A 12,485-nucleotide genomic window follows, 5' to 3' on the forward strand; every position below is an offset into this window, starting at 1 on the left:
ACCAGAAGCACCCTGAGGGCAGAGTCCACCCATTCTTTATCTTTGCTTTTTCTCCAGAGCATTCTACACAGCCTATATGCTATTTATTATAATTATTTAATTTGATTAAATATTTAATGAAAAATCTTTAGAATAAATAAATAAAATGAATGAAACAAAACACTTTATGAACTTTTGGAATAATTTTTTTTTTTTTTTTTTTTTTTTTTTTTTTTGAGACGGAGTCTCGCTCTGTCGCCCAGGCCGGACTGCGGACTGCAGTGGCGCAATCTCGGCTCACTGCAAGCTCCGCTTCCCGGGTTCACGCCATTCTCCTGCCTCAGCCTCCCGAGTAGCTGGGACTACAGGCGCCCGCCACCGCTCCCGGCTAATTTTTTGTATTTTTAGTAGAGACGGGGTTTCACCTTGTTAGCCAGGATGGTCTCGATCTCCTGACCTCATGATCCACCCGCCTCGGCCTCCCAAAGTGCTGGGATTACAGGCGTGAGCCACCGCGCCCGGCCGGAATAATTTCAAAGGCCACAAAATCCATTACACAGACTAGTTTTCTTCGACTCATCAGTTATTTTGTTTTCTGCAGCAATCACAAGAATATCTAAGTTCCTCATACTACATTCTTCCCCTGCTGATTCACAAATCTATTATAATCAGAAAGCATGTGAAAAACTGAGAAATGGGAGAAAACAATCACTGACTGCCATTTGGTAATAGGAGTAATTATTAGGAGTCAATTCGAGCATTGCTTTTAATCTTTTGAGTTGCTTTGCTGGTTGTCATTCTCTATAACTACTAAAAAGTCCAACTAGAATTTGTTTTCTTGCTCACACAGGCAAAGATGATGTTTGGAGTTCAGTGGTCAAGAAAACCCCGATGACTGCACTTCTGTATGTTTTTGTTTAACTTGTGGACAAAGACTTGTGGATAGGTGCAAAAAATAAGTCCTCTTTTGCAACCTGGAACTCATTGTTCAGTATGAGTTTTGATACATATAAGAAGGGATATTATGATACCTGAGACAGTTAACTGATGGGAGTATTGATAACCACAGAGGTTGGTTCCAGGCCAGGCTCAGTGGCTCATGCTTGCCATCCCCATACTTTGGGAGACTGAGGTTGGAGGACTGCTTGAAGCCAGGAGTTTAAGTCCAGCTTGGGCAAGAAAGTAACACCTTATCTCCACAAAAAATTAAAAATTAGCTGGGTTTAGGGGCATGTGCCTGTACTTGCAGCTACTCAGGAATGGGAGGCTGAGGCAGGAGGATTGACCCCAGGAGTTGCAGGCTGCACTGAGCTTTGATGGCACCACTGTACTCCAACCTGGGCAGCAAAGACAGACCCTGACTCTTAATTTCAAAAAGATTGATTCTAGGACTGTAGAATAGATAGTTAAAAAGCATGGGATATGAGGGAAATCCTCAGCTGTATTAAATTTGTATTCCAATTTCATGTTGACTTGATACAGAAGATGGCATTTGGTTTTAAAAGCTTTTATCTTGAGAACATGATGTCTGGAGTTAAAGGTATTGACATATTCCACACATCTGTACTATTGAGTATGATTGCTTAGGGCATCAAATTGAGAACGAGGCAGATCCACCTATACTAAAAATGACCCTAAAGTAAGTTGGTTAAAGAAATTAGACCTCAAAGATTCTTGATTTTTCCATAGGTGAATTTTGAAGTCTTCATCAGTATATCCATGTAAAAAGGAGATGACAAAAACCAAAATAAAATAATTATGGGCTGACAGGACAACTGGATTAAAATAAGCATCAGTTTCAGTAAAAAGGGCTAACTTGAAGACAAATCTTTTGAAGATAAATTTTGACACCAGTTCTTTAGAGGATCTAAAGTGACCTTGATGGAGAATGAAAGAAATCACAAGATGGAATTCCTCGAATAAAAATTTATTGACTTTAAATAATTTTGCCTAATGTTACATACACACAATTAAAAAAAAAACACCTCTTTATGCTGTTAAGAAAGAAAGAAAGAAAGAAAGAAAAGAAAAGAAAGAAAGAAAGAAAGAAAGAAAGAAAGAAAGAAAGAAAGAAAGAAAGAAAGAAAGGAAACCCTGATGAAGCCACACCTGTTTGGGGTACAAGAGGACACACGTGTTCCATGTCATGAGGGTCGAAGCAAGAGTCTGCCTCACATGAACACAGATATTTTCCTTTAAGCTAGAAGATGATCTTTATTTTCATTTTTTAAGATTCTCAAGGTAATTTATAGATGAGAAGCTAGAAATAAAGGTTGTAGCCTTTATTTCATATGACATCATTTCTAGAAAATGACTGAGCTTGCCAGCAAGGAATTGCCCTAGTGATTTTTAAATGATTCCAGTTAATTGAGTTATTGAGACATTTTTTCTCTGTGATTTTCTCCCTCATCTACTTGAGCATTTTGCTAATTCTCATACTTGAGTAATTCCTAAAGTCTCTCATCTTTTCTCCTGTTCCTAGAAGTGTCATGTAAACTTGGAGATCACGCTGACTCCACATGTTCCCCAGCTTACCTGGATCCTCCATTTGGCTTCTTAGTCAACCCTTGTCGACTTCCCTGTAAATCCCACACAGACATTGTCCTTTATACCTGATGACCTCCTGAATCCAAAAGCTACATTTTCCACTGTCTGCCAAAATCTTTCACTGGATATCTGGAGAACATTTTCCTTTATGTGTCCATTGTGAACCAAACGAGAACAAACACTACATTGTCTTCTCTTTTGCCCTTTTTACCCATTGTGACAGCTTTGTAGAATTGAAACTCAAAAATTGTTCTGACCCTTTTTCATCCTCTTTGCCCTCACAGCCTAGTCACTTTTCTAAAGATCCTCTGCCACATGTCCTGGATATCCATCCTGGACATCTGATGGACCCTGGTGTCTCTTCCTGTCACTAATCTTGCATGTGACTTCCATTTTGTAGGACTGAAATTTTCTAACTTGGGTAACAATGATGTCATTTTCTGTTTTAAAAATTCCAATAAAAACTTCAGTGCATTTCTGTCATTAAATACACGCACCTTAGTCCAACATTTAATGGTTTTCAGTGTTCTCCCTTAAAACAGGGCTATCCCTTTTTCCTTTTTCTCCACTGTTTCTCCTATGTTTCTTGTGCTATAACCAAAGTGAACTCTAAGCAGGTTCCTAAATATCTGTTCAACTTTCCCAGCCCTGTGCCATGGTTAATGCTGTTCTGTGTACCAGATGTGCTGTCCCTTTCCTCCTTCCTTTTATATCAACCTGCTAACATCTTACCCAGCCTTTAAAACGGCCTAATTTTTCTAAAGTCTTTAGTGAAAAGTACAGCTAGATACACTGTTTCACCCTTCTTTGAAATTCTATGTTCTATTACTAGTACTTCTACAGGGATGCTTGTTCATTTAGACAAGTATTTACTGATACTTTATATCGATTGCTGTGCTTTTATTATTTGTGTACTTTTATTGTGATTTTCTGAGCTTAGTTGATGATACCTTTATGAAGAAATGTATTAGGTTTTACTCATGTTTTAATGTCTGACTTATAGCTGTTATCACAGTAGATGTGGCACTGTAGTTATTGCAAGTCTTGTCTCTCAAGGATAAAGCCTTATCTTGGTATCCTTCAAAATGGCAAGATGTTCATTCTCACCACATACAATTGCATTGTCCACTGTGCCCTGCCATGATTTTCACATTTCACTCAATACCCATGGTCTGCATCAATCTGGAATCATGCATTCTGCCATCTGCCCCTTTCCTTGAAAGTCCTGCTGGCTGCAAAACAGCTGAGATTTACTAATGGGTTAATATGTTACTTCGCCCCTAATTAAAGCTATTGGTATTTAACAGGAACTTGGCCTAGATAAGGGGTGACTCAACTCTAGAGAATTTCTGAGTGGCTGGTGGACTGATGGGATGATATTTTGGGTCTGGAACAGTTTTCAATGCCTGGTAAGTGGCTGACAAGTTTATCTGTGTCTGAGAGATAGCATACGAGATTCCTGTAAACATGCGTCCATGCACTCGCTCACAAATGTACCAGGGCCCTGCAATCCTGTGAACGCCAGGTTCCTAAGAACAGTAGTAAGGCTCACCTACCTTTGTTCCTCAGGGAGCCAATGAGGGCCCAGCCATTGCGCAAGTCTGGATTCGTAGGAGATCACCTTTTATTCCAAATCACATCCTAGTTTTTGTCTTGGTCTGAATGGAAACATTAGGGGAAACACAGAGGAAAATCAGAAAGGAATCTCCAGCAACTAGTGGGAATATTAATATTTTAAGATCCCATCTCTACCTTTAATGGTAAGTTTACCTCTGTCTCTAGATTTTACCCCCCCCCCCTTCCCTGGACCCATAATAACAATGAAATATTTTTATAATAATAGAATATTTATCCATGAGTTGGGGGAATAATCAGACCCTCAATATTGTGCTATGAAAGACTGAGTACATTACTGCTCTAAAATCTGATGAAATCTACTCTTCCAAGAAAAACCAAAGGCAGGTTCTAATAAAACAGCTTTTGATTAGTGCTTCTGTTTTTATAGACGTGGCGTGGTACTGATGGTGGTGTCTCGTCCATTCTTTCAGACACGTATTTCACATAAATGCACTAAATAAAACAATGCAGTTTTCTTTATTTCTCTACACATACAAATACACATGCAGACATTCATGCTTTTGGCAATTAAAAATACATTATTTTAGATAATTTGGTGACAGAGGTCAGCAAATTAACTCAGAAAATATAGAAAACTTTTCTTTTAGACCTGTTAAACAGCATTTTCCATGAAAATAACATTGCAGTAAATTGATACGCTAGGCAAGGCTGGGCGCGGTGGCTCACGCCTGTAATCCCAGCACTTTGGGAGGCCGAGGCGGGTGGATCACGAGGTCAGGAGATCAAGACCATCCTGGCTAACACGGTGAAATCCCGTCTCTACTAAAAATACAAAAAATTAGCCGGGCAAGGTGGCGGGCGCCTGTAGTCCCAGCTACTCAGGAGGCTGAGGCTGGAGAATGGCATGAACCCCAGGGGGCGGAGCCTGCAGTAAGCCGAGATCGCACCACTGCACTCCAACCTGGGGGACAGCGAGACTCCGTCTACAAAAAAAAAAAATATTGATATGCTAGGCATGAAATGACAAGCATTCCTTTATAATAGGTCACCGCATATCTGATAGATATATCTGATGGGTTCACCTGGTTTTGCCATAGTCCTCAATCTTGGGTCAGTTTTATTGAAGCTAAAAATTGTAAGGTTAATGAGTGATAGATAAAAATTATATGTCGATAATCACTTAGATGAATGATTTTTTTAAAAAATTTTTTAATAAATATTTCAGAAAGTTACTACGGAGTCTACAATTTTATAACTAAATGTCTCACTGAGAACCAAGTACACAAAAATATACCACATGAAAAGGAATTAAGCTAACATTTTAATTGAATAATATAAATAAATACCAAGATTTACAAAGAATACAGGCATCCATGCACATGTATAGTTTTCATGTTAGTACAGCTTTGAAAATATTAGGAAAAGGTCTAGCAAAATTACCAGTCTTACCAATATAAAGACAGTTTGGATTTTTGTTGAAAACAAAATCAAATGAAACAGAACTTAAATTATAAAAAAATGCAAACACACACCCACATGAGTAATTCCATGAGTATTTAGATTTCAATAGTTTTGTACATCTTGTGAACACAGGCTCTTCATTTCTTCTCATTCCACAAAAGATAATGTATAAACTAAAATGGGGGTAAAATATGAAAAATAAGAAGGAGATAAAGTAGAATCAAACAGATTTTTTTTTCATTCATTCATTCAACAGATATTTATTAAGTATCCACTATTGACCTGGAATTTCATGTTTTAGTATTATAGTACCTATCATAAATTCCAATAATAAAGCCTTCTCAGTTATTATTTTTTTAATTGAAGAAATGGTGGTATGGTTTAGATCTGTGTCCCCACCAAATCTCACATTAAATCGTAATCCTCAATACTGGCAGTGTGGCCTGATGGGAAGTGACTGGATCATAAGGGTGCATTTCTCACGAATGGTTTAGCGCCATGGCCTTGGTGCTGTCTTTGCAATAGTGAGTTCTTGAGACATCTGGCGCTGAAAGTGTATGGCACCTCCCCTCTCACTCTTACTCCTGCTCTCACCATGTAAGATGCTTGCTCCTCCTTTGCCTTCTGCCGTGATTGGAATCTTCCTGATGATTCCCCACAAGCAGGTGCTGTCATGCTTCTTGTACAGCCTGCAGAACTGTGTGCCAAGGAAACCACCTTTCTTTTAAATTACCCAGTCTCAGGTGTTTCTTTATAGCAGTGCAAGAATGGTCTAAGAAAATTGGTACTTAGAAGTGGGGTATTGCTATAAAGATACCTGAAAATGGCCGGGCGCGGTGGCTCACACCTGTAATCCCAGCACTTTGGGAGGCCTAGGCGGGCGGATCACAAGGTCAGGAGATCGAGACCAACCTGGCTAACGTGGTGAAACCCCGTCTCTACTAAAAATACAAAAAAACCAAAAAATTAGCCAGGCGTGGTGGTGGGCTCCTGTAGTCCCAGCTACTCAAGAGGCTGAGGCAGGAGAATGGTGTGAACCCGGGAGGCGGAGCTTGCAGTGAGCCGAGATCACCCCACTGCACTCCAGCCTGGGTGACAGAGCAAGACTCTGTCTCAAAAAAAAAAAAAAAGAAAAGAAAAGAAAAGAAGAAAAGAAAGAAAGAAAATAATGTTGGGCTGGGCACGGTGGCTCAAGCCTGTAATCCCAGAACTTTGGGAGGCCGCGGCGGGTGGATCACCTGAGGTCAGAAGTTCAAGACCAGCCTGGTCAACATGGTGAAACCCCGTCTCTACTAAATATACAAAAATTAGCCGGGCGTGGTGGCGGGTGCCTGTAATCCCAACTACTCAGGAGGCTGAGGCAGGAGCATTGCTTGAACCCAGGAGGCAGAGGTTGCAGTGAGCCAAGATCACACCATTGTGCTCCAGTGCACTCCAGCCTGGGCAACAAGAGCGAAACTTCATCTCAGAAAAATAAATAAATAAATAAAAAATACAAAATCGAATTCATTTAATTTAGATTTCAGTTAAATCATTCTTATCAAAATGGTCCTGAGTAATAAGCTTTGGCCAAATTAATGAGTAGTAGCTATGAACCCCCAAAATTTGACAGGTCTCAGTTAATTTAGAAAGTGTATTTTGCCAAGGTTGAGGATGCACCCGTGACACAGCCTCAGGAAGTCCTGAAGACATGTGCCCAAGGTGGTCAGGGCACAGCTGGGTTTTATACATTTAGGGAGACATGAAACATCAATCAATATATGTAAGAAGTACATTTGTTCGGTCTGGAAAGGCGGGACAACTTGAAGCAAAGGCAGGAAAACTCCAAATGAAGCTGGGAGGCAGCTTCCAAGTCACAGATAGATGAGACACAAATGGTTACATTCTTTTGAGTTTCTGATTAGCCTTTCCAAAGGAGGCAATCAGATATGCATCTGTCTCAGTGAGCAGAAGAGTGATTTTGAATAGAATGGGAGGCAGGTTTCCCCTAAGCAGTTCCAGGCTTGAGTTTTCCTCTGTGATTTTGGGGATAAGATATTTTCCTTTCACATAGCCTACTGGTCCAAACACATAGAGTGAACAGAATTTCTCAGACTCTCTGCCATAAAAATGAAGTGGGAACTTCTCTTTTGCATTTGTATCATTACATATGTAGACACAGCCAGCAAGTTTCTTTCTAATGACTGCCGAAAAATCGAGCAACTCCAATTCCCAGATTTAAGGGGTCATGAAGGATACTCTGATTTAACAATAATTTTATCCCTAAAATAGACTGTCACATGGCATCCAACTGTCTTGTGGGCAAAATAGGTCATGGAGCAATGACTCCTTTAGCTGTTTTTGAGGTGGACTGTGGGATGCCGGGTGTCACTCGCTACGGGGCTGTGCCTTTGTATTCACATTTCTGGCCCCACAGGAGTTTCATAGATAACCTAATTTCACCTCTTTTTTCTCAGAGAGGTAGAATTATTACTCTATGCACCTGAAGTTTCATTTCTGTTTAAGTCTTTGACACATAGAACATAGACAAACTGTGATGGAATTAGGCAATATCAGAAAGAGAATAGTAGGTAGCTACAGAAAAATAAACATTAACTTCATAAACTATGGTACTTTTTGATAACAGTATTTGCAATTATCATTGCATAATTTTGATTGAGATCACAGTTACCATCTAAAATCCAGATAAGTGTTTTGTCATGTGGTGAGCACAGTTTGTAAAAAGATTTATTTTGCAACCAAGGGGGTTTATATACATATAGAGAGAGTGACAAATCCATAGATTTCATTTTAATAACAGAGTGAAGATAAAACAAAGGATATCTGGCAATTGCATATCTTGAAATAGTCACCTAAGTAAAAATATTTAACAGAAATTTTTTGTTTGTGATGTTTATGTAATTCATGTTACATAATTTTATATATTATACATTGTTATACTATGTGTACTAAATATAATGTAATGTATTGGTGGAGATAAAACGTGGTTTTATTTCTATAGGGATGAGAGAAATCTAAAATAGAGTCAATCTATTTGTGTGAATGCATTAAATACTACAGCAAATTTAAAGGGTAAAATAATAAAACATTCGATCTTCTAAAAAAGTTATTAAAACTTGGCAAATGCAGGAATGCACTATTAATGATTTTGTTTATTGGGATCTGAGCTATGTTCATTTATTATCAAATACTACTGCTTTTCTGAAAAAATAGAAACTTTTTATAGTCAGCATAAAAGCAGAAATAAATCAATTACTATAATGATGGAAATAGTTGGAAATGCAATGTACAATTTCATATCAAATCAAATTCAGTGTGTTTCTTGGCCTGGTTTGCTAATTCTTTCTGCCACCATAAAATTTGGCTGCAACAGGGCAATAGAATACTGGTGAGAAAATACTGGGTACCACTTTTTTAAAAGGAGAAAGGAAGAAGTCAAAGGAGTAAAACCAATGTGTGCAAAGCAGCACATGTTTACTCCCCTAACAACTGAAGAAGGGTAGCAATTTTGGATTAGAACCACGGCGCGTGGAAAGGAGTTTGTCATTTGTGTTCACATCCTCAGGCGCTGAAAGGTATCACCTGGCAAGGATCCTGCCCAGGCGAGCAGAGGTGACGCTGCCTCTTTCCTGGCTGTGTGCCCACATCCACAGCCTGTTCCTGCTTCCCCTCCATGTTAGAGGGGATGGTTCCAGGAGGCCGCATGGCACGTTAAAGCAAAACAAAACCAATGCCCTGCTCTTCTTCTTCATGCAGCTCCCATATTCACTATGACAGCCCAGAATTCCTCATCCTAATGATGGTGCAGGAGACTCGGGTTCTGGCCAGTCCTCTCTCCCCAGCAGCTCCTCCCTTCTCTGGCCTCGCTCTTGGCTGACGGAGTGATGGTTTCTTTCCATGAGAGACTCTGAGAAGAGCTTGACTTTAAAATATTAGGTTTGTTTTTCCTCCTGTTCTCCTTGGATTTCTTTTCTTTTCTTTTTTTCTTTTTCTTTCTTTTTTTTTTTTTTTTTTTTTTTTGAGACGGAGTCTCCCTCTGTAGCCCTGCCTGGAGTGTAATGGCGTGACCTCGACTCACTGCAACTTCCAGCTCCGGGTCCCGGTTCAAGCAGTTCTCCTGCCTCAGCCTCCCGAGTAGCTGGGATTACAGGCACGCGCCACCATGCCCAGCTAATTTTTGTATTTTTAGTAGAGACAGCGTTTGAACTCCTGACATTGTGATCCACTCACCTCGGCCTCCCAAAGTGGTGGGATTACAGGCGTAAGCCACCGTGCCTGTCCAAGATTTCTTTTCTAAGAAAATAGAGAAAAAAATATATAGAATGTGTGTGTGTGTGTGTGTGTATACACACTATATATATATATATACACACACACACACACACTTTTATGCTGACTATAAAAATTTCTGGCCAGGTGTGGTGGCTCACACCTGTAATCCCACCACTTTGGGAGGCCCAGGGGGGCGGATCACCTGAGGTCAGGAGTTCGAGACCAGCCTGACCAACATGGCTAAACACGAGCTCTACTAAGAATACAAAAATTAGCCAAGTGTGGTGGTGTGCACCTGTAATCCCAGCTACTTGGGAGGCTGAGACAGGAGAATTGCTTGAACCCAGGGGGCAGAGGTTGCAGTGAGCAGAGATCGCACCATTGCACTCCAGCCTGGGTCACAGAGCAAAAAAAAATTCGATTTTTTTTCAAAAAAGCAGTAGTATTTGGTAATCAATTAACATAGCTCACATCCAAATAAATTCATTAATAGTGCATTCCTTCATTGGCACTCTTCTAGTAAATTTTTTAAATGATTCAATGTTATACTATTTTACTGTTTAAGTTTGCTCTAGAATTTATTGCATTCATACAAATAAATGTTCTCTTTTTCAGATTTCTCTCCTCCTTATAGAAATAAAACCATGTTTTTTTCTCCACCAATATGTTAGATATATTTATTCCAAATAGTATCATATGTATAGTATATATAGTTACATACATACATAAATATATATTTTTTTCTTAGTGCAAAGTCATTGTTTCTTTGAGCCTAAAAAGCCATAAAAGTTGGCCGGGGGCAATGGCTCACGCCTGTAATCCCAACACTTTGGGAGGCCGAGGCGGGTGGATCACGAGGTCAGGAAATCGAGACCATCCTGGCTAACACGGTGAGACCCCATCTCTACTAAAAATACAAAACATTAGCCGGGCATGGTGGCGAGCACCTGTAGTCCCAGCTACTCGGGAGGCTGAGGCAGGAGAATGGCGTGAACCCAGGAGGCAGAGCTTGCAGTGAGTGGAGATCGCACCACTGCACTCTAGCCTGGGCGACAGAGTGAAACTACGTCTCAAAAAAAAAGCCATAAAAGTACACATGGCACAAACACACACACAGTGACAGTCTGGAGGTTTGGGGATGAGCTACCAACTCGATTTTTAAAAATATTTTCTTATATTGAGGTGTACTTTCTTTTCAATACCATTCATCTTCCCACAATCTCCCCCTTCAATCATTTGGGGAAAATATGAGCCTTTGAGAATTTAAAACCCCTATTTCGCAGGCAATTTTCTTTGTGTGCTTTGTCTTCTGACCACATTCTCTGTAACTCTGTCAGTTGATAGCAATCAGTATTTAGGATACATTAAGAGCATGGCAGAACCAATAATTTTTTTTCTTTTGCAGTTGAATTGGAAATTCATGCTTTTAATTGTGTTTTCAGAGATAACTTGAGGTTTTGCGTTTTGGGGGTTTTGATTGTTCCTTAAAAGAAGGGGGTGGATATTTTAGAGCAAGAGTTACTTTTGTTTTCACAAAAGACACAAATCTTATTTCATTGCTTTGTTTTTCCCCCAGGAGTTAGGTTAAAGGTTATCTCCCTAAAAACTTCAGACTGGTCATTTGGCTCCGTGCTAAGTAAATAACTTTGTTCTGAGGTCTTAACTTAGTTTAGGTAAACCCAGCAGCAGTTAGGGCTCTGGTGTTTTCATGTGCATAAACTGCACCTCAGAGGAAGTTAATGCATAGTATTGCTGGAATCTGTGGAAAATCTGACTTTTTAATTCTCTATATGTATAACGTGCTTGTTAGGCCATTTAGCTGAAAACGCATCAGCAGAGCTCAAAATAGAAATACGTATATCTAATTATGTGCATAAACAATAAGCCAAGATTGCAACATCTGGTACTTTTGCAATCATGAATACCTGGCTTTAGGCTTCCCAGCATGGGGGATCGTTTTGGTCAAGGGCACAATGACACTCCCTGGGTTCGGATAATAGGGGTGTGAAAGGAGATGCAAATAGGCCTGTTCATTCCCGTCATCGGGACTCCAGAGGCTGATTTTCTAGTTCATGGTTTTATCCTCGTTTTTTTTTTCTTCCTATCTTTAGTACAATGAACTTCTGTATTTTTTCATTGCTTGTCTTTCTAAACCAAGTTGGTGTTGAGGGGGTGGTGTAGTGACCCTTTCATATTATAATTCTTTGTTTTTTGGGGTTATTTATGTTTCTTGTCAATGTTTACCTTCTCCCTCTAATTATTCCTTTGCAGGATCATGCATTTATAAGGCTGGACAGGAATTTAAGGGGCCACCTTGGGAAAAAGAACTGAACGTGTGCTGAGCAGCTACCATGAGCTGGGGCTCTTTCACCTGCTCTCTGGGTGAACTCCCAGCCCTCAAGTCTTTGGACTTGGACAATCTGTAGCTGGAAAGAAACACAACCACAGTCCAACCCATTCTTCAGTTATATTCAAGAGGCCAAGCAAGGTGAAATCATTTACCCACGTTTCTATACCTTCTTTGCTGGTGCTAAGTGGGGATGGAGAGTGAAACCAAAAACTAAAGCCATGATAAGAACAATAAAGACAAACTGTTCCTCTGAAAGAACAAACGTTTTTGTAATCGCAGACACATTTCTTTAGCTGCT

General features: G+C 39.8%; 1 non-coding gene across 1 annotated transcript, besides 2 other annotated features; it reads left to right on the forward strand.

Annotated features, from left to right (window-relative positions):
- The first annotated feature begins 875 nt into the window (after window positions 1-875).
- On the forward strand, window positions 876-1,003 carry LOC124900298 (small nucleolar RNA SNORA40). Its single transcript, XR_007062406.1, has one exon. It is a non-coding gene; the product is annotated as a small nucleolar RNA SNORA40 (small nucleolar RNA).
- Window positions 11,155-11,693: an enhancer, noted in NCBI's record as "OCT4-NANOG hESC enhancer chr10:36737868-36738406 (GRCh37/hg19 assembly coordinates)". NCBI's record gives its function as "activates a minimal SCP1, AML or CMV promoter by ChIP-STARR-seq in naive and primed H9 embryonic stem cells {active_cell/tissue: H9 hESC(naive and primed)}" and the evidence as "EXISTENCE:reporter gene assay evidence [ECO:0000049][PMID:30033119]".
- Window positions 11,694-12,232: an enhancer, noted in NCBI's record as "OCT4-NANOG hESC enhancer chr10:36738407-36738945 (GRCh37/hg19 assembly coordinates)". NCBI's record gives its function as "activates a minimal SCP1, AML or CMV promoter by ChIP-STARR-seq in naive and primed H9 embryonic stem cells {active_cell/tissue: H9 hESC(naive and primed)}" and the evidence as "EXISTENCE:reporter gene assay evidence [ECO:0000049][PMID:30033119]".

Source organism: Homo sapiens, chromosome 10, assembly GCF_000001405.40.
Source record: "Homo sapiens chromosome 10, GRCh38.p14 Primary Assembly".
NCBI lineage: Eukaryota > Metazoa > Chordata > Mammalia > Primates > Hominidae > Homo > Homo sapiens.